The sequence below is a fragment of the Homo sapiens genome, chromosome 1 (assembly GCF_000001405.40).
Source record: "Homo sapiens chromosome 1, GRCh38.p14 Primary Assembly".
Taxonomy (NCBI): domain Eukaryota; kingdom Metazoa; phylum Chordata; class Mammalia; order Primates; family Hominidae; genus Homo; species Homo sapiens.
Window position 1 is genome coordinate 86,110,150 of NC_000001.11, and position 23,666 is coordinate 86,133,815.

Here is a 23,666-nt window from a genome sequence, read left to right on the forward strand (position 1 = left end):
ATATTTTAAGGGAATGGGAATATTTTATTTTATATATATTTAATAAAAATATATACACAATGGAAATGGGAATATTTCATTTTAGTGGGAAAGTATGGGAATGGAGATATCATTAAATATTTTATGTTTAGTGATATCTCCATTCCCATGCTTTCAAGGTAACCAACCTGTGTACCTGTATTCTTCCATACGTTTTCCTATGTTCTTACTATTTATCACACTGTTATCTATCATATTGAGAGGTGACAACATGCTAGCAGCCCTCGCTTGCTTTTGGCGCCTTCTTGGCCTCAGCGTCCACTCTGGCCGCGCTTGAGGAGCCCTTCAGCCTGCCCCTGCACTGTGGAAGGCCCTCTCCGTGCTGGCCCAGGAGGGAGCCAGCTCCCTCTGCTTGCGGGGAGGTGTGGAGGGAGAGGCGCAGGCAGGAACTGGGGCTGCGTGCGGCGCTCGCGAGCGAGCGCGAGTTCCGGGTGGGCACAGGCTTGGCAGGCCCCACACTCCCAGCGGCCCCGGGCAGTGAGGGGCTTAGCACCCAGGCCAGCAGCTACAGAGGGTGCGCTGGGTCCCGCAGCACTGATGGCCCGCCCGTGCTGCGCTCGAATTCTCGCTGGGCCTCAACCGCCTGCCCGCAGGGCAGGGCTCCGGACCTGCAGCCCACCATGCCCGACCCCCGCCCCCCACACCCCATGGGCTGCCGCGCGGCCCAAGCCTCCCCAGTGGGGGCTCCACCTCCTTCTCCGTGGTGCCTGGTCCCATCGACTGCCCAAGGGCTGAGGAGTGCCGGCAAGTGGAGTGGGACTGGCGGGCAGCTCCGACCGTTGCCCCTGCATGACATCCGCTAGGGGAAGCCAGCTGGGCTCCTGAGTATGGTGGGGACTTGGAGAACTTTATGTCTAGCTGAAGGATTGTACATGCGCCAATCAGCACTCTGTGTCTAGCTCCGGGTTTGCGGATGCACCAATCAGCACTCTGTATCTAGCTAATCTGGTGGGGACTTAGAGAACTTTTATGTCTAGCTAGAGGATTGTAAATGCACCAGTCAGCACTCTGTGTCTAGCTCGGGGTTTGTGGATACACCAATCAGCACTCTGTATCTAGCTAATCTGGCGGGGACTTGGAGAAGTTTTATGTCTAGCTAGAGGATTGTAAATGCACCAATCAGCACTCTGTGTCTAGCTAAAGGTTTGTAAATGCACCAATCAGTGCTCTGTGTCTAGCTAATCTAGTGGGGACTTGGAGAACTTTTATGTCTAGCTAGAGGATTGTAAATGGACCAATCAGCACTCAGTGTATAGCTCAGGGATTGTAAATGCACCAATCAGCACTCTGTGTCTAGCTCAAGGTTTGTAAACACACCAATCAGCACCCTGTCAAAACAGAGCGATCAGCTCTCTGTAAAATGGACCGATCAGCAGGATGTGGGTGAAGTCAGAAAAGGGGATAAAAGCAGGCTGCCCGAGCCCACAGGGGCAACTGGCTTGGGTCCCCTTCCACACTGTGGAAGCTTTGTTCTTTCACTCTTTGCAATAAATCTTGCTGCTGCTAACTCTTTGGGTCTGCACTGCCTTTATGAGCTGTAACACTGTGAAAGTCTGCAGCTTCATTCCCGAGGCCAGCGAGACCACGAACCCACCGGGAGGAATGAACAACTCCGGATAGGAGGAACGAACAACTCCAGATGCGCCGCCTTAAGAGCTGTAACACTAACCATGAACGTCTGCAGCTTCACTCCTTAAGCCAGCAAGATCAGGAACCCACCAGAAGGAAGAAACTGCGAACATGTCCGAACATCAGAAGGAACAAACTCTGGACACACCATCTTTAAGAACTGTAACACTCACCGCGAGGGTCCGTGGCTTCATTCTTGAAGTCAGTGAGACCAAGAACCCACCAATTCCGGACACAATATGACTATCATACAACTATGTACGCTCATATATATAGATTTTCAGGTTAGTTGTTTTCATAAACATTTGTTCATTCTTTAAACATCCTCGGTTTTTTTTCAGGTAAAAATAATTAGGGAAGTGTGGAGCAGGTAAATAATATTTTATTTCCTTGGTGTTTATTTACAAATTAAAACGACCTTAATTTAAGGTAAATTACTCAAATCATAATCTTATATTTCAGAGGTTTCCATACATTGCCATCATATTTTTGATAACAATGATTTTGGAATACTAAGCAGGCCTATACCTGATTTTACTACTAAGAATATAAATCCAAGTATGGTGGGCTTTCAGAGGAACCTAGCTCTCTGCCAGGCTAAGACAATCATGTTGAAGAATCATGCTCTGGAGGTGACAGAGATCCTTGATGTATCAAGACTTGCCTTAAATGTTAGGGATCTTCTTTTTAATATCAGGAAAATCAGGTGATACTCATTAGCTTAAGTTGCCTGATTAGTAGTCACTTACCTTTGGACCAGGTAATCCAGGTAAACCAGGATTTCCATGTGGCCCTGGTATGCCCTGCAAGTAACGAAAAAAGTCATCATTCTTGGAACATACTGGAATGGAACAAAGTACAATTGCTTACTTTCCTCTCAACATGTGTGATCCCTTTAAGCACTTGAGTTTTTGCTTATGTTATTATGTATGCCTTAAAGACCTACTTACTTCAGCTTATGCCCTATACCTACCCAAATTTTTCTTCAGATCTCAACTCATTTTTAAATCCTAGCCACAAGAACATGAAGCAATATCTCTCTCCTACTAATTTCCGTAGAAATTTCTTCATGTAAAATTCATTTACCAATTAATTGTATATTGCCTCAGGACATTTCTTATACTGTTCTAATCTGTTACTTAAATACTTTATTGCTGTTCTAACTGCCTTATGACATGTTCTATTTAGCCCCAGGATTATAAATTCTTTGAAAAGAGACTCTTAAAAATATTACTAGTGTAGCACTTAACACATTGAATGGTTACACTCGATTAATATTTAGCAATTTGATTTTGCATCACTGATAAATTATATAATCTGAATTCAAAAATTGATTCTATTTTCTGAGTACCTACTATGTGCTAGGAACTGTGTTGATGTTTTGTGTTTCTCATTACTAATCCTTATAACAATCCTGCAAGGTTATTATTTTTACTCCCATTTAAAAATCCGGAAACTTAAGCGCATACAACCAGTAAGTAGAGGAACAGATCACCCTCTCCAAGAAAGCCTTCCATGTCTCCAGGTTCCCTATGCTTACTTCAATTTTGTACCCTACTTCTGTGCTCTTCAGCCATACCTCCCTCTTAAGACATAACATATAGTTAATAATTATTTGTCTTTTTAATTCTGAATTAATAGAGCAGAATACTTCAGGAAGACAGAGGTGTCAGCAATGCAAATATTGAAAATGCATCTAGCAAGATGAAAACTAAAGAAAAAAGATTAAATTTTGGCTGGGTGTGGTGGCTTACACCTGTAATTCTAGCACTTTGGGAGGCCAAGGCAGGAGCATCACTTGAGCTCAGGAGTTTGAGACCAGCCAGGGCAACGCAGCAAGACCTCATCACTACCAAAAATCAAAAAACTTTGCCAGGCATAGTGGCCCACACCTGTAGTCCCAGCTAATCAGAAAGCTGAGGTGAGAAGATGGCTTCAGCCCTGGAGATCAAGGCTACAGTGAGCTATGATACCCATCACTGCACTCCAGCCTGGGTGACAGAGTGAGATCCTGTCTCACAAAAAAAAAAAAAAAAAAAAAAAAAAGAAAGAAAAAAATGGTTAGATGTTATGACTTATGTCATTGGTAACCTTCAAAAAGTACATTTTAATAAAGTAGATGGAAAACATCTATGGGGATTAATGAATAAGTTGCTGATGTAAAAGTAAGGACAATGGAATATAAATTATTATTTCACAAAGCTCAGTAGTACAAACAACAGTGAGCCAAAACAATAGCTTTAGGAAAAATTAATATCAATGAAAGTTTGGGATTTATAAAAGAGGGATAACTTGTTGGTTGTTGCCAAATAATATAAAATTTAGGGAGAGAAAAAATGTAAAGTTGCAACTTTTAAGTTAGATGAGGTGAAATTAGGAACACAAGTAAAATAACTAGCCTTGAGCAAAACACTCTTTCTTCCTTAAGAGAATGAGAATTGGACAAATAAATGGAAGATAAAAAGTGAATTAGGGAAGATAAAAGTAAAAAAGTAAACTGCCGTATTATGAGAACAGATGGAGATTCTGAACCTGAAGTTCATGCTGTTGAGAGTACAACCTTAGCAGTGGATAGGGAATAGAATTAGTATGAAAATTGGCCCAGTTTCTCAGAAAAATAGGATCCAAATTCTCACAGAGAGGTAGGAGGATAGGAATGGTTCATGGGCTAGAGGAGAACGAGCAAGGTTTAGAAGGGGCTATGGAAGAAATGTGATAGGTCATCAACTACAGAGAATTTTTTTTAATGCAAAACAGCTAGAGCCCAATGAGAATTCATCTTAGGCCTCAAATGGACAAGAGTTTGATGTGACTATGGACAACTTAAAGTAATATTTTAGAGTAATTTTTCTTTATAATCTTTGTATGTTAAATAAAAATCAGAATAAAAATAAAGTGGATTATATAAAAGGTATTTGCATTTGTCATACAATTCTTTTTCTAGCTCATTGAACAAAGATGTTTTGTAGTAAAATATCCACACTTTTTTTAGGTTTGAGAGAAACTAATTTTAACATAGCAATAAGTCTTTTGTTGGGCCTGTGTAACATGAAAAACTACTGCTGATCTTTAATGCAGCTTTTTTCCTCAGGGCAGTTATTTTCTAGTCAATAGCTTCAGAATTTTCCACTATGTAATCCAGGAATGTACTATTTTAAGGCAGCCCACCCCTCTTCATTTCCCCAAACAAATGAATCTCACCTTAGATATTGCGATCACTTTATAAGTAAGAATAATGTTACAAGTAGCACCAGAACAGCCACTAATTTACACATTTGATCATCTTTGTTGGACACGTTCACAGAGAATGCTTTGGCTGTGTGTTTACACTCAAAATAAACTAGGCTGCATGTGTTCTTAAGCTTCTCTTGAATTGGCTAAGGTAGGACTAAGTTTGAAGATCCAGGCAGGTTTCCAAAGGAAGTACATACTGTACAATACTAGAAAAAACATGTTAGAAAGTTACAAATTCTCACTGCCAGCAGGAAATATAGCCCATCTACTTACCCGTGGACCTCTCTTCCCTGACGGACCTGGGATACCTGCTGGACCAGGTGGACCCTTGGAAAACAAATGTCAAGACATTAGGCATGATAGTGGACACATTTATTTTCTTACGAGTCTGAATAAGATTTCCACCCAAAGACAACTCTTTTTCAGTCCCCAGTTCCCAGCTGGTGATGATTTTTAAGTAACACGAACCCCCTTACCCTAATCAGCAGGGGTGAGTTGAAACTCAAGTGTCCCCTTTAATCTGGCCAGAAATGGCAGCAGGAAGTCTATGACTTATGGTTACAGCCACCGTATCTGGTTTTTAAAGGGACCACAACTAGTAGTTTTGTGGGTAATTTTTTACCTAAATTTACTTTTACTATGGAAGAAGGAATTCAATTTAGGGTTTGGCGACCAACAACTACAAGTTTTTTTCAAACACAATTCAGAAGAAGATTTGCTTTGAAAAATGAAAACACTGGCCATTTTATGTACTTTTAAAAGAATTATACCAAGGATCTGTGTAATGTGTTAAACTGTTATAATGAAATCCTTCTTGTATATCCATTAATAAATCTGACTTATACCAATTGCAGCACACCAGGAAGTCACTAATAGAGTTAAATGATTTATAAAATAAAGTATGAAAGCAAAAACTGATCAATTGTTACAGTGTTCTGAGTTATTTAAATGTTAATTTTTAAACATATCAAATAAGAAATAGGACACTACTTCTTTACTTCTCCATATAATGTTTTATGTTGTCTTCTTCACTTACTTTAACAATCAACTGTGGAATAATAAATGCTCATTTGTGATATGGTTGAACACATATTCATTCATTCATCTGTTCATTCATTCAATTGTTACTGAGCACTCTGTGATATGGCATTGTTCTTGGTGTCTATAGAGCATACCATACACATATTCCACTTAACAAATATTCATTCATTATTGCAGTAAAAATAGTACACGATTTCAAATTAGACACATCAGGGTTAAAATACTAGCCTCACCAGTAACAAGCACTGTGACCTAATGTGCTTTATTTTTCTTTATTGTAAAATTTTTATATATCTATGCTGATTGCACATAAAATAAAGAGATGAATCCAGGTTAAATCATATGTACTTTCCAATATGTGACAGTTTTTTAACCTACAATTTCATAATTTCATACAGTTTAATCTGCAGCATGGCCAGGTACACCTAAAATGTACATTGAGTTTCAAAGGAGGAGAGGGAAAATGGATTGATGGGAAAGGATCATTCCAATTCAAAAACACAAGAGGGAAATGAGTAAATTATGTTGAAAAAAATAACAGTTATTTTGCATATTTCTCATCTCACATTTTTTGATATTAACTACTCCTTGAAACTTTCTCTTTTATTAGAGTCATTTGCAGTTTTCTGATATTCATTAGATATTTCAGACTGTCCATGTTTTTCCTTTAGTTGCACTTTTTTCTCTTACCCCCTAAATTTATAAAACTTTTCATGTATTTCCTAATATTGAGAGAGAAATGCTATTTCTATTCAGCCCCTAACTGAGGGCATTCTCCTTCCTCAGCTGTTCAAATATTTTAGCAGCCATTATCATATCACTAGCTTCCATCAAATCTTGATATTTTACTCATTGTCAAGAAAAATTGACTTTCTTTTCAAGTTAATTCTGGTCCTGTTGTTATAATTAAAAATTTAGCAGCTGTTGATTTGAATTTATGTCCCCAAAAATAAGAGCCAGTAGGAGAAATCGCAACTAAAATGAAAAAGAAAATGAAAAGTTTTCTTTAAAAATGTCTAGTTTGGTTTAGTGTCCTGTCTCACTACTTGTGACAAAAGAAAACACTATTCCATTCACATTGGAAAGGCAGTTTGCTATGGCTTGCGTTTGTGTCCTCCCAAAATTCGTATGTTGAAATCCTAAACAAAGTGATGGTAGTAGGAGATGGGGACTTTGGGAGGTGATGGGTCAGGGATTAGTGTCCTGTAAAAGAGGCATAAGGGAGTTAGTTCATTTTCCTCTTCCACCATGTGAGGACACAGCACGAAGGTGCCATCTATAAACCAGAAACAGGCCCTGGCCAACTACCAAACATGCCAGCACTTTGATCTTCAACTTCCCAGCTTCCAGAACTGTGAGAAATAAATTTCTATAGTGTATAAGCCTCCTAGTTTATGGCATTTTGTTACAGCAGCCTGAACTAACTAAGATGCAATTAACATTAGATACTGGGGGGAAAAAGAGGTATAGTTTATGTCATGATATAAATATTTGAATTGTTTGATAAGCACTAAATTAAAATCAATTCTCACATGTCTTCATAATTTTGTGGTTTCAAAATCTTTTACAACATAGTATTAATAGGCATTTTCTAGATACCAGAGAAGAATCATAATTTTTATAGCATGACATTTTTGAGAATAAATTATTTTCTATAAATAAGGTTAAGTACTAAAAAAGGCACTTTAACTTTCAGATTATTTGTTATTAAGAGAAAGTACAATTCCATTTAAAAAGTAATGGTTTTGCAATCATACAATGTAGATTCAAATCATGCCTCAATCATTTACTAGCTGAATAACCTTAGACAAGTCAGTTACTCTTTCTAAGCCTTAGTTTCCTCACCTTTAAAATATTGATGATAGAAATTTACCTTTCAGGGTTATTGTGAGTATTAAAGCTATTGTATATAAAATACCTGTCACTGTGCTTGGCAGTGATAGTAGTTAACCAGTAAACAGTAGTCTAATTAACTTTTTTTTTTTTTCGAGATGGAGTCTCACTCTGTCACCTAGGCTGGAGTATAGTGGCGTGATCTCGGCTCACTGCAACCTCCCCTTCTTGGGTTCAAGCAATTCTCCTGCCTCAGCCTCTCGAGTAGCTGGGATTACAGGTGCGTGCCACCATGCCCAGCTAATTTTTTTGTATTTTTAGTAGAGACGGGGTTTCACCATGTTGGTCAGGCTGGTCTCAAACTCCTGACCTTGTGATCCCCCTGCCTTGGCCTCCCAAAGTGCTGGGATTACAGGCGTGAGCCACTGTGCCTGGCCTAATTAACTTTTTTAAGGTATGCATAAGGCACAGCAATCACTGAGTAAATGTTAGATATTATTATTACTAGGATAATATATACATTAAGGTAAATCTATTCAATAGTCCAATACTTCTAAAAGATAATAATCCCTGGTCAGTTAATGTTGGAAATCCTGCATCTTACATTCCTTTTTTAATTTATTCATTCACTCACTCAATAAATATTATAAAGCATCAAGCCCTCCTGGAGTTTGCAGTCTAGATAAAAAGACATACATTAACAGATAAATACATAATTACAAATTTTACTTAGTGACATGGAGGAAAAGAAAAGGCAACCAAGAAAGAGGTTAATATGGTGGACCTAATTTATATTGTGATGTCAGAGAAGGCTTTTCTGAAGAAGTATTTAGTTAGACCTAAAAGATTAATGGGAGCTAGAAAAAAGAAGAAAATAAAATTTCAGAAGATAGGAATAAATGAATGAGGCCATGAGTAAAACAAAACAAAACTAATAAAAGACACAGTCATTTTGAGGAATTAAAAGAAAAACTAATAGAGCAAGGGGAAAAGTGGGGCAAGAGGCAGTTGCAGAGGTAAGCAGGGGCCATATCACATACCTGCACAGGTCAGGATACAGAGTTTGAGTTTAAGTGCTATAACCTTCTTCCACTGAAGAACTTAAGCTGATAAACAATGTTATCTGATTCATCTTTTTAAAAGAACACTAGAGAATTTTGGTAAAAGATGTCAGAGTGAGAACATTTTGCAGACTACTCTCCCTCCCTCAAAACCAGCTGTAAACAACAAAAAGCACCAAAAGAAGAAAACATCATCTCCAGTGAAAAACGAAAGGATCATAACCACAAACCACAAAATATGAAGATTACCTGCCCAATACTGAGAAACTTTGGAGCGAAGGTGTTGAGAGATAACCAAATCCAAAAAACTCCTCAGACCTCAAACCTTGGATACATATTAGTCTTGAAAATCCACTTTTTTGATTATGATAAGGTTTAAGGGAATGTGCAAGCCACAGGAAATATGATTCATGACCCAGTAAAAACCCAACTTCAAAGAGACAAGAGTAGAAAAGGTGGAGCTGAAGAAGAACATACCTTTTTTATGTTCTACAACCAGAATCCTCTCTGGTGAGAGGGGACAAAAGACAAGAAGAGCACAAATCCCCCTATCACTTCTGAGACAGCCTGTGATACAAAGGGTTTCGCAACAAATTGTGCATGAACATGAGACGACACATGCCTCTGGGTAGAAGACAAAACAAATATGGTAAGATGGTGTTTTAGGCAGCAATCTAAATTTGACTCTGTGTACCATTCCACCTTACTTCCCTATGCCTCTCCATATACCATTCTGAAACAAATCACCAAGATACAGTTGCCTTTATTTTAAAAATGAATAATAACCAGAGAGCAATCAGTAGAGGATTTATAAATAGATATTTGGAGGAGGGGAAAAGTGAGAGGACAGGAAAATAAATTTAAAGAACAAAGCTGGAGGCATCACGCTACCTGACTTCAAACTATACTACAAGGCTACAGTAACCAAAACAGCATGGTACTGGTACCAAAACAAAGATATAGACCAATGGAACAGAACAGAGGCCTTAGAAATAACACCACACATCTACAACTATCTGATCTTTCACAAACCTGACAAAAACAAGAAATGGAGAAAGGATTCCCTATTTAATAAATGATGTTGGGAAAACTGTCTAGCCATATGTAGAAAGCTGAAACTGGATCCCTGCCTTACACCTTATACAAAAATTAATTCAAGATGGATTAAAGACTTAAATGTTAGACCTAAAACCATAAAAATCCTAGAAGAAAACTTAGGCAATACCATTCAGGACACAGGCATGGGCAAGGATTTCATGACTTAAACACAAAAGCAATGGCAACAAAAGCCAAAATAGACAAATGGGATCTAATTAAACTCAAGAGCTTCTGCACAGCAAAAGAAACTACCATCAGAGCGAACAGGAAACCTACAGAATGGGGGAAAATTTTTGCAATCTACTCATCTGACAAAGGGCTAATATCCAGAATCTACAAATAACTTAAACACATTTACAAGAAAAAATCAAACAACCCCATCAAAAAGTGGGCAAAGGATATGAACAGACACTTCTCAAAAGAAGACATCTATGCAGCCAACAGACACATGACAAAATGCTCATCATCACTGGTCATCAGATAAATGCAAATCAAAACCACAATGAGATACCATCTCACACCAGTTAGAATGGCGATCATTAAAAAGTCAGGAAATAACAGGTGCTGTAGAGGATGTGGAGAAATAGGAATGCTCTTACACTGTTGATGGGAGTGTAAACTAGTTCAACCATTGTGGAAGACAGTGTGGCGATTCCTCAAGGATCTAGAACTAGAAATACCATTTGACCCAGCCATCCCATTACTAGGTATATATCCAAAGGATTATAAATCATGCTGCTATAAAGACACATGCACATGTATGTTTACTGTGGCACTATTCACAATAGCAAAGACTTGGAACCAACCCAAATGTCCAGCAATGATAGACTGCATTAAGAAAATGTGGCACATACACACCATGGAATAGTATGCAGCCTTAAAAAAGGATGAGTTCATGTCCTTTGTAGGGACATGGATGAAGCTGGAACCATCATTCTGAGCAAACTATCACAAGGACAGAAAACCAAACATCTCATTTTCTCACTCATAGGTGGAAATTGAAGAATGAGAACACTTGGACACAGGGTGGGGAACATCACACACCGGGGACTGTCATGGGGTGAAGGGCAGGGGGAGGGATAGCATTAGGAGAAATACCTAATGTAAATGACGAGTTAATGGGTGCAGCAAACCAACATGGCACATGTATACATATGTAACAAACCTGCACATTGTGCACATGTACCCTAGAACTTAAAGTATAATAAAAAAAAATTCTACTCAGTACCATTGTTTAAACATGAATTTTTAAAGCATTAATTCACTAACAGTATCCTTTTTTATTAGCACATAATAAAGAGAATAATCGTTAATGTGAAAAAAATTATTTACCAGAAGAGGAATTACTCCATACAACAGATAAAGAGTTCAGTTATATAGGTCACTACATATTCAAAGAATGTCAAGATGACATTAACGTACAAAAATAAAGTTCAAAGAAGAGTTGTGAAAGATTTAAAAAATATGAAAGAGCAAAAAAGAAACTCTTTGATGAAAGCCATGTCAGAGCAATAAAAACTGATTAAATATAATTTAAAAATCAATGAAGGGATAGGAATATATAGAATAAATGAGTTCACACAAAATGAAATGGAAAAGAGCAATCATGATGACACGGTTGTAGAAAAGATAATAAATACCATTCATCATCACAAATGACATTTAACATATGCAAACTTGTATGCCTGAAGAATTTAGAAAAATGGAACCAACCAATATTTGGTTATTATAAGGGGAGGTCTTTCTATAATCTTCAGATCAAAATAATCTTCTGATCAAAAGAGTATTCCCCCAAAAACCTGATTCAGAACCTAATAGGTTTAAAGAACTTCAAAGATAAAGAACTGCATGGGTATATAGGCAGGAAAAAATTGTTACTTAAAAGTAGGAAAAACCAGGCTGGCTTCAGGCTTCTGAGTCACATCTACTTCAAGAAGCAGTAAGGCAATTCCTACAAGTTCATTATTTTATCACCATTCAGTCTCTCATTATCTCTCTAAAATCTACCTTTAGTCTTCTACACTGCGCTGAAGTTAGGATTCTCAAAGTTCAACAATGACTTCTTCATCAAAATATCCAATAGATTATCGCTTTTTCTCAGTTCTCATTCTCTTTGACTTCTCTGTCTCTTTTGGCCCTGCTGATCAATTCCTTCTCAAAAGTCTCTTCTTTGGCTTTTTGATATTGCTTCTTTCATATTTTGATATCACTATTCTTTTCTCCTATCTCTCTGACTTCTCATCACATTTCTGCTTTTTCTTTCTATAACCAAAAAGCAAACATCCCCCTCATTTGACTGGTGACCCTATGCCACATTCCTCTCTTTGAAAATCTATCCAACTCTATAGTTTCAACTATAAAAGTCAATAGAAATACTCCCAAATCTATATCCCCAGCCTTGACATCTATTCTTTACTTCAGCTTCTTCAACTCTTCTAACAGCTTAATTACCAACAGCTCTTTAAATGTTTCATTTTTCTCTCCTAAAATTGACTTTCCCTCTTAATTACAGTTTTTAATAATGATATCACCATTCTCTCAATCTGCAGGCTTAAAATTTGATAGTCATCTTTTATTCTTTTCCTTTTTGCTTGGTCCCTAGGTCCCATTAATTTCCTAGTTCTACCAAGTCTTCCTACAAAATCTCTTGAATCCTACTTTTCCTTTGCATTTTCACTGCTGCCAACCTAGATAATGTTCTAGTCCTTTAACACCAAGATGGTAACAGAAACTTCGTATCCTGGACACTGTTACCAGACCGATTTTCCAATTAATACCTCTGCTTAGAAACCTACAAAATTCCCCTTTGAGAACAAGATAAAGTTAGAATGATCATTTGACAGTTAAGAATGCCCACAACCTGACACCATCAAGCTTGGATCTTTATCTGTCTGCTTTAGAGGAAGAAAACCTGGATTCAAATCCTGGCTCTATCATTTACCAACAATGTCATTGTGGGAAAGTAAATTAACTCTTTGGGCTTCAGTTTCTTCACCTGAAAAATGAGGATAACACTACAAACTTTACAAAGTTATTTTAAGATAATATATGTAAAGAGACTGGTAGAGCATCTTTCTCAAGGAACTCAATAAATGATAGCTATTATGCTATCATAAAAAAAACTCACCTACTCCTCTCACCTGTCAAAATCTTACCCATTCTTAGAGCCTAGGTCATAACTAACTTTGTCCACAAGATCTTATTCTGAATAGCTCAGCTTTAAGTGACCTTTCATAGAGACTCCATCAAAAAATACTATTTTTTTAACCTTTGAACATCTCTAGCCCATACACTTACTTTGCATCTCTCTGCAGCATTTATCCTACTTTACTACAAGATATATTAAATAGTTATAAATGTACTTCCTTTATCTTCATTATGAAATATAAGCTTTTTCTGAGCAATTACTGAGTTATACATACTTTGTGTTCCTGCTTTGCTTATAGCAGAGACTAAGTAAATATCTGCTGAATATTACTGCTTCACCTGCCAATACTGAATGACTATTTTTGAATTTACAGAAGAGATTAATGCTCATCTGATCAGACTGACTTTTTCTGAAGAAAGTAAATGGCTTCCATAACTATTTGCTTAATATTATATGTCCAGTGATTCAATTTTATGACCAATATGTTGATAATTAATTGTCATAGTTGAAGAGTTTATTTCTCTATAATAGTATAGTCTTCATATTTTATTTTTAAATGTCTAAACATTTACTCTAGCAAGAGTGACTCAATACCTATCAAATCACTTCTAGGAATAACCACAAAGGAAACACAAGCTAAAAGACTGGCTTCACCTTCTCCCATTCTATGATTTCTAGAGCTAAGCCAAAGACTCAAATTTTATTTTCATTAAATAAATACTTTAAGATATATTTTAATCTACTTGAAATTTTGAAAAAAAATAATTTCTAAAGACATAAAGGTAAATTTAAGTATACAAATATGAAGCATAAAAAGAATATTTCCAACACTGTGATTTTAAATGACTTTAAGTGGTTTTTAAATGATTTTAGAAATTTTTAAATGTTGATCTCTAATTCCCACCTATACAACAAAAGAAATTCAGGGCTGAAAAGTTCAGTTTATTATCTCACAGTTTTGTTTACATGATATTAAACAAGTGCCTTGGTTGTTTTTTTCCCCTCACTGAATTGACTGATAACTGGTTCTTTTTGTGTTAGGCAAGGGGAGCTTTAATTAACCCATAAACATAAATTGACCATATCACTAAAGACAGTCAACGATTCATTACACAATAATCTCTATCTAAAGTAAGTTTTACACTCTATTTTAATCCATTTGATGCTATTTTGCTGTAAGAATATTTAATGGATGTATTTAATGTATTTTTCTTTAACCTACCATATCTTTTATATACTTCTCTTAACATGACTATGCATTCTCCTATGGTTTTCAAAATATAAATATATTATCTATATTTAGCAGTTGAAATCCTGATTGAATTTCAACTGAACAAGAAAAACAAATAGTTTGCCCACTACTTCACCAGAATTAAGTCACCTTTCAGCCTACCAGATGAAGAACAAAAGCACGATATTTGAGCCAGGGTTACATTCTGGCAGATATGTTACAGCAACCATAAATTCATTTACTGTGCCAGAATGCATTTCCATGACAGACTTTATCTGTTATGTATTGTTTGGTCCAGAGAACTCTCTTTAAAATGTATTTTAAAGAGAGTTTAAAATGTAAGTTAGCATATTAGGAGATATTAAAAAAAAAAAAACTTACGGGAGGTCCAGTGTCTCCTTTTGGCCCTCTCAGATACTCCATTTCAAGCATTGTATTTAGATCCTCATAATAATAATAATCATAAAGCTCAGTTTCATAGCTATTTTCGATGGGATAAGTAGCATCAGGATAAAATTCACCTTCTTTCCTTAGATCAAGGTGATTATCCACAGATGGCTCATTTGTCACTCTATGCAAGCTTGTGTTTAAAATTGGTTGCATTTCCATGAGTTCGTTAGTGTGTAGATTTGCTGTGATAGCCTTCTTGAGATTAGTAATTGTATCTTGTTTAATTTGTGGAAGAATAGATGGCATCTTCTTAAACAGTGACAGACCAGTTACTCTATCATCATGTTGTGTGATATTGTCAGACATGTTTAGGAGAGAGCTAAATTTCTCTTTGGTATTCATTTTTGCCTCACTGATGCGATGAGTGGTCACTGACAGGCTGAAATTTGTCTGAGTATCTTCCTCAGTGATCATTTCTTTGGCCTGAATCCCATGGTTTGTGAGATCCACAGCAGAGACATTTCCTGACTGAAGAGAAGATAACTGAGATCTTGATATCTGGTGTTCTTGTCTTTTATACACGGTTTCAGAATCATTTTTTATGATATTTGGAATGCTTTTGCCTTCAGTAAATGTATCCTCTGACAGTACTTTTTCAGCAAATAGTTTGGGCGGGGGAGAGTGTTCCGGTATCTTTGTTGGTATGAGAGTTGTACAAGGAATGCTTGTTTCAGGTTGGTATTTGTCTGCTTGGCGACACTGCTGTTTCACATATCTGCAGTAGTCTGCAGATGCTTCTGCAGAAGGAATAATATCTAACTGACATACTATTCCTTCAAAATGGATAGAATTATTATTCATACTTCCTAAAGTAAACACACTATTAGAATCAAAGGTCTGAACTTCTGGAATAGTCTCTGTGCTAAAATATTTCTTTCCACACTCAACAAACATTGAGACACTTTGGTTTCTAATAGTAATGGCAAATGAGTGCCATTGCTCATCATGAACACTGTAGTTGAAAACTGCAGGCTGCTTTCCTCTAATGTGTACTACTAATTTTTTAGGTAGTAATTGTACTCCTAATTGCAGTCTATTTTTATTTCTAATGCTGAAGAGAAATGCATTGTTCACCCGATGTGACTGTAACCCAGTTAATATTGTAAACGGCTGCCCCAAGTTGACTGGTAAAATTTTCACGAAAGGTGTCTCGATATAAGCATCATTTTTAAAAATGACTCCTGATTCTGTTAAATGGACCCCCTGAGGTAACGGTGTAGATGCTGATGGTACAGCAGTCGCTGGTGATGAGTGTCTTACGTCTTTGCCTCCAAGGCCTAGTTGATGAAGAATATCTATGCCTGGAAATTTAAAAAAGAGAGAGAGAAAGAATCTTAATTTTATGGATTCAAGTGTTCATATAAATGTTTGAATATGATAAAAATCTTCCTTGTAGCAACAGTAGTTTCTAAAATAAGCATGTTCTATCAATAACTAATTATGGGTAATAAGAAATAGGGAGGGGGAGAGTAAGACATTATACTCAATAATTTGAATAAAGTACATGCCCCTCCCCCTACACACACACCAATCTCTAAACCCAAAACTTATTTATTATTAGTTTATTTATTATTTTAGAGACAGGGTTTCCATCTGTTACCCAGGCTGGAGTGCAGCAGCATGATTATAGCTCACTGCAGCCTTGATATCCGGGGCTCAAAGGATCCTCCCACCTCAGCCTCCCAAGTAGCCAGCACTACAACGGCATGCCATCATACCTGGCTAATTTTTGTATTTTTCATAGAGACAGAGTCTTGCTCTATTGCCCAGGATAGTCTTGAACTCCTAGGCAAAAGCAATCCTCCCACAGCACTGGGATTACAGGTGTGAACCACCACGCCTGATCTCCAAAATTTAATTAGTTTATCTCTCTTGTTTTCCATTTTACTGATTCTTATTTGTCACTTCAATGAATATACATGTTCAAAGATTCCCAGATCCCATTTGTTTCTTTGATTTAGAACTTAAAATTTAATGAAATCTGTGTTAAAGTGAAAGTGGAGTCATACTTCCAAAGATAATTGTGATTTGGAAAACATTTTATAAATTAGGTTCACACGATCCCTTAAAGTATAATTTTTCAGGCTGTTTTTCCTTCTAACCTTCTGGGAATTTACAAGTTGCATGGAAGCTTTCCCAATGCCTACTACCTTAAGTGTGTGCTACGCTTAAAGTATTCTGGTTACCAAAGTCCTTTGATAATTCCCGGACAAAAGAATTTAAATTCATTTTATTGGTGATCACTCTGGTTTTTCTGTCCCTTCCAAGCTTCTCTTTCTTCCACTTTTCCAGTCCTCCAGAGTAACTTTTATCCAACTTTTAGACTCTTTCAATATCTATTATGTAATACGCATTTTATATAATATGGATTTGATATAATTGTGGATTTCTCTGATTTATTATTCATCGTAATATTACCAATAGTATATTGTTTGTCTCCTTTACCCAATTAAAAGCTTCTGGAAAACTGGATATGTCTGATTCATTATTGGATCTCTTCAGCACCTTCCTTGCAAATAGTTCTATAATTTCAGAATGAATGAATTTGTCCCACAGCAATCTGACCAGGTCTCATATTCACCTCTGGAGTCATATAAATTTAAATATCACTTAAAAAGAATGACAAATTCTGTCTTTAAAATACAGAACAGCATAGTCAGCTGCATGATCTTTATTATTCTTTGGGTTATAAATTTCCCATCTGTATCTTTGTATAAATATAATCATCTCCAACCAGAAATGTTACAGAATTGTGATAAGTGAAAAAAATAAAAGTCTTTGAAGATTAGCCAGGAACGTTTGGCATCACCTTACTTTTTCCTTTTGTAGGAAATTAGTAGATATTTGATAATGCATGCTTATTACAAATAGCAAAAGATAGGAGAGAATCTCATTTCCCAAGTCTCACAACTGTGTACAACAATGAAATAATTACTGAATGCCATTCCTGTGTAATCTAGCAATGCAATTAAAATGTTTTTTAACAGAGATCTTCACAAAACACTCAAGTGTTTTATTTTAAGGTTAGAACAACCATCATTTTATCAATAAAATAGTTGTAATTTCATGACATTTTTAAAGGATAGCAATATTTGTATCTATGATATTGTATGACAAACTTTTCCACCAAAATATTCCTAACACCAGTGTAGAATTATATGCACCTCCAGGAATTTAGGGACATATTTCAAAGAGGCCCCACATAATCAACAAAAAAATACCTTTGACTTCTTATGTTTTATCATCATAATTCACACAAAATTTAAACTTTAATCCATAATATGGCTGGTTGTTTCAATATACAATATAAATTACTTATGAGCTAAATCAGCTAATTGTACTCATCCCCAATCTTCAGTGAAAATTTACACCGCCGAAACTAGCTATGTTAGTCTGTGACATTGGATATCCTCACCCAGGTTTACCTAACTCTAAAGGTATGCCTAGCTCAATCTGAGAAGTAAACTATGGAAGGAACCCTGCTTCTGTGGAAATCACAATGCTTAAATTTAAAGTATATATGATCATAAAGTATCTGAAAGCTATAATTCTGAGATACCAAATAAGCTACATATGTAAAAAATAATCATACATGTGGTATATCAAGGGCTGCACGCTGCCCCAAGAACATCTCCCCTTGCATTTATTAAGAACCCCTGCCATCTAGTGCTTCGAATTTCTGACCCTATTATACAGAAATATCATTGGGAGGAGTATTATTTGAAAACTTTAAAAAGCATATGTGTGTTTTCAATGTTTCTTTATATGTATATTAATATGCTTCCTCCAATTCTATTTTTAGTGGAGCTTTGATGACAAATAGCTGTTTTTTAAAAATCAAATGTGTTTGAACACTTATTACTGAATAAATTTCCTGTTATTGAACCATGATTGCATCCCTAAAATAAAATCTTATTAGTTTTACGTTATTCTTTTGGTATCTCACTGGATTATTGACTAATAGTTTTATGTAGAATCACTACATCAATATGTATGAGTTGACTGGTCAGTGTTTTTCTCTTATTGTCCTATATTTATCAGACAATAAAATTGAAATTTCATTATTTTCTATAGCCTAAAACAATTTCAGTAACCTTTGAAATTACATTTTTTCCCAAAAAGTTACAAAAACTCACCTATAAACCAAATTGATCATGTTGGCTCTTTCATTGATAGTGCTTCATTCACTTTCCTAATCTCTTCTATGTTAATTGATTTAGTCTAATTTTCCACTGCACCTTGAGACAATTTTAGAAATTTATATTTTTCTATGAAATAATAAATTTCCTCTAGGCTTTTACATGTATTACCCAGAAATCTTCACATAATAATCCCTTACAATTATTTTTGTTTTCCTATGTCTGTGGCCCTCTGTCTCATTTCTCTAATTTTGGTTATTTTGCTTTATTTATTCTTAAGTCTGTCATTATTGGTCATTTCAAATGTATACAGCCTTCAGATTTATTTATCTACTATTTTTGTTCATTTTCTCTATCATTAATTTTAGAATTTATCTTTATTAATTATCTCTTCCCATTTTTTTTTGTTTTACTCTTTTGCTAATCTCTGAAGATGAATAATTAGTCCTTTATTTTTCTTTTCTTGCTTGATAATGAAGGCATTTAAGTTATACATTTTCCTGAGTGCTGCTTTAGCTGCATCCCATAGATTTTGATATGTAGCATTTTCATTTTTGTTGTTTTCTGGAAAGTATTTTTATTTGTATTTTCTCTTTGACCCAAGTGGTTTAAGAAAAAAGTTTTAAATTTTCAGTTAGGAAGGTCTTTTTGTTTTCTGATTTTGTTATTAAAATCTAACTTAATAGTATTATGATCAGAGAATGGTGTCTAATCAGCACTTTCTTTTTCAAAACTCAATTAGCCTCATAAGTGGTCAATTTTCAATAACATTTCATAAGCACTCGGAAAGGTGTTTGAAGGTACAAAATTTAATACATACCAGTTAGTTGTACCTCATTGTTTATGTTATTTATATCCTCTATATTCTTGTTTATTTTTGTACAATTAATCTGCCATCAACTGAGAGATAAAGTATCTTACCAGTAGTGTGTCTATTTGGCCTTTTCTCTCTTGTGGTCTTTGCTTTATGAATATTGATGTCATGGTTTTTATGCATAGATAATCATGCAGTTCACATATTTATTGAGTACTGCACCTTTCAGAATTACAAAAAGACCTTCTATGTCTAGTTTATTGGGTTTTATATTTTTGGCATTACCTTAACTGGTAGTAAGACTAAGCTTCCCTCATCTGACTTTCTTTTTGTTTACATTTGTCTGATATACCTTTGCCTTTGTTTTTGTTTTCATCTACTGTGAAACACTATGTTTTAGGTAAAGACAAAGGGATTGTATTTGTTTTTTGATCCAGTCTGAATTGTTTTCTTTGAATGTATAAACTAAATCTATCTACATTTGCTAATATTATGGTTTGTTTAATCTGTTGTATTATTTTATGTTTTACCACTTTAATTTTTTGAAGTCTTTCACTATGTAGTTTGTTTCCTTTGCTTTGCTTTGTGTATGCCTTTTGAGATTTAGAAGGGTTTGTATTTTTATTCTAAGGGTTTCCTTTAAAATTTTAAATGTATATAATGCCCCCAGTCCTTTCATTACACATATCTATTAATTCTTTCCTTTACACAATGTTTTATTTTCCTCCCTTTAACCCTTTCCCATACCTTCTAATATTAGTCTATAGGAGTATCTTTCATAGTGTTTATCTTTTCATTCTTAAATATCCTTATATTTCTTTCATCTAATTTACCAACTGTAAAATATTTAATTCCCAGCTTCTTCAGATAAGGCAATCAGCAAAGTTAATCTACTCTTCCTATTCTTCCTCTCTTCTCCTACCATTTTTCTGTAATTGTACCATTCCTACATTGTTAGTTTGTATGGCATTTATATTTTTCTTTTTCCCACATTTTCTTTTGACAAATAGAGCCAGACTTTTGTAGTAGCTTCCCCAATCACTTCTCTTTGGCTGAAGTTTATCCTCTATTAGTTTCCTCAAGAAGGTTTACGGGAACAACATTTCCCGAGTGTTGGACTTTTCAGAATTGATTTTTTGTAGCCTTGTACCTTAAATTTCATGGGATATAAAATTCTTTCATGATACTTTATTTCCTTGAATATCTTGCAGCTGCTGTTCCATGGTTCTCAGGTAGTCTTTCTAAATCTGAAGTCAGCTAAATATTTTTCTCCTTACAAGTGACTCCGTAGTTATCAACATTCTTCAAGAGTTGTTCTTTATCTTTGAAATGCAGGAATTTTATAAGAATATGGCACCATATTGACCATTCTTGATAAATGTTTCCAGGTGCATAGTATGATCATTCATTGCACAGGTTCAAATTTTTTTTATTTACTTCAGCAAACTTTTAATGAATTGTATCCTTGAATATTGGTTCTATTTCATAGTTTTGGTTTTCTTTTTTATATATATACTTTAAGTTTTAGGGTACATGTGCACAATGTGCAGGTTTGTTACATATGTACACATGTGCCATGTTGGTGTGCTGCACCCATTAACTCGTCATTAACATTAGGTATGTCTCCTAATGCCATCCCTCCCCCCTCCCCCCACCCCACAAAGGCCCCAGTGTGTGATGTTCACCTTCCTGTGTTCATGTGTTCTCATTGTTCAATTCCCACCTATGAGTGAGAACATGCAGTGTTTGGTTTTTTGTCCTTGTGATAGTTTGCTGAGAATGATGGTTTCCAGCTTCATCCATGTCCCTACAAAGGACATGAACTCATCATTTTTTATGGCTGCATGGTATTCCATGGTGTATGTGTGCTACATTTTCTTAATCCAGTCTATCATTGTTGAACATTTGGGTTGGTTCCAAGTCTTTGATATTGTGAATAGTGCCGCAATAAACATATGTGTGCATGTGTCTTTATAGCAGCATGATTTATAATCTTTTGGGTATATACCCAGTAATGGGATGGCTGGATCAAATGGCATTTCTAGTTTTAGATCCCTGAGGAATCGTCACACTGATTTCCACAATTGTTGAACTAGTTTACAGTCCCACCAACAGTGTAAAAGTGTTCCTATTTCTCTACATCCTCCTCTCCAGCACTTGTTGTTTCCTGACTTTTTAATGATCACCATTCTAACTGGTGTGAGATGGTGTTTCACTGTGATTTTGATTTGCATTTCTCTGATGGCCAGTGATGATGAGCATTTTTTCATGTGTCTGTTGGCTGCATAAATGTCTTATTTTGAGAAGTGTCTGCTCATATCCTTTGCCCACTTTTTGATGGGGTTGTTTGTTTTTTTCTTGTGAATTTGTTTGAGTTCATTGTAGATTCTGGATATTAGCCCTTTGTCAGATGAGTAGATTGCAAAAATTTTCTCCCATTCTGTAGGTTGCCTGTTCACTGTGATAGTAGTTTCTTTTGCTGTGCAGAAGCTCTTTAGTGTAGTTAGATCCCATTTGTCAATTTTGGCTTTTGTTGCCATTGCTTTTGGTGTTTTAGACATGAAGTCCTTGCCCATGCCTATGTCCTGAATGGTATTGCCTAGGTTTTCTTCTAGGGTTTTTATGGTTTTAGGTCTAACATGTAAGTCTTTAATCCATCTTGAATTAATTTTTGTATAAGGTGTAAGGAAGGGATCCATTTTCAGCTTTCTACATGTGGCTAGCCAGTTTTCCCAGCACCATTTGTTAAATAGGGAATCCTTTCCCCATTTCTTGTTTTTGTCAGATTTGTTAAAGATCAGACAGTTGTAGATATGTGGCATTATGTCTGAGGGCTCTGTTCTGTTCCATTGGTCTATATCTCTGTTTTGGTACCAGTACCATGCTGTTTTGGTTACTGTAGCTTTGTGGTATAGTTTGAAGTCAGGTAGTGTGATGCCTCCAGCTTTGTTCTTTTGGCTTAGGATGGACTTGGCAATGCGGGCTCTTTTTTGGTTCCATATGAACTTTAAAGTAGTTTTTTCCAGTTCTGTGAAGAAAGTCATTGGTAGCTTGATGGGGATGGAATTGAATCTGTAAATTACCTTGGGCAGTATGGCCCTTTTTCACGATATTGATTCTTCCTACCTATGAGCACGGAATGTTCTTCCATTTTTTGTATCCTCTTATTTCAGTTTGTAGTTCTCCTTGAAGAGGTCCTTCGCATCCCTTGTAAGCTGGATTCCTAGGTATTTTATTCTCTTTGAAGCAATTGTGAATGGGAGTTCACTCATGATTTGGCTCTCTGTTTGTCTGTTGGTGTATAAGAATGCTTGTGATTTTTGCACATTGATTTTGTATCCTGAGACTTTGCTGAAGTTGCTTATCAGCTTAAGGAGATTTGGGGCTGAGACGATGGGGTTTTCTAGATATACAATCATGTCATCTGCAAACAGGGACAATTTGACTTCCTCTTTTCCTAATTGAATACCCTTTATTTCCTTCTCCTGCATGATTGCCCTGGCCAGAACTTCCAACACTATGTTGAGTAGGAGTGGTGAGAGAGGGCATCCCTGTCTTGTGCCAGGTTTCAAAGGGAATGCTTCCAGTTTTTCCCATTCAGTAGATATTGGCTGTGGGTTTGTCATAGATAGCACTTATTATTTTGAGAAACGTCCCATCAATACCTAATTTATTGAGAGTTTTTAGCATGAAGCGCTGTTGAATTTTGGCAAAGGCCTTTTCTGCATCTGTTGAGATAATCATGTGGTTTTCGTCATTGGCTCTGTTTATATGCTGGATTACGTTTATTGATTTGTGTATGTTGAACCAGCCTTGCATCCCAGGGATGAGGCCCACTTGATCATGGTGGATAAGCTTTTTGATGTGCTGCTGGATTCGTTTTGCCAGTATTTTATTGAGGATGTTTGCATTGATGTTCATCAGGGATATTGGTCTAAAATTCTTTTTT

The 23,666-nt window shown here is 36.0% G+C and overlaps 1 protein-coding gene across 20 annotated transcripts in view; it reads right to left on the reverse strand.

Annotated features, from left to right (window-relative positions):
* COL24A1 (collagen type XXIV alpha 1 chain) overlaps nucleotides 1-23,666 on the reverse strand; it is a 427,752-nt gene that overhangs the window by 380,917 nt on the left and 23,169 nt on the right. For all 20 annotated transcript variants that reach the window (NR_146340.2, NR_146341.2, NR_146342.2 and 17 more), the window contains 3 exons: nucleotides 14,696-16,065; nucleotides 5,176-5,229; nucleotides 2,418-2,471 (listed from right to left, as the gene is read on the reverse strand). Coding sequence is in view for 13 of the 20 variants with exons in the window: in XM_047417004.1 (XP_047272960.1) it covers nucleotides 2,418-2,471; nucleotides 5,176-5,229; nucleotides 14,696-16,065 (1,478 nt within the window). In the remaining 7 variants the exon portion in view is untranslated. The remainder of the gene's footprint in view (nucleotides 1-2,417; nucleotides 2,472-5,175; nucleotides 5,230-14,695; nucleotides 16,066-23,666) is intronic.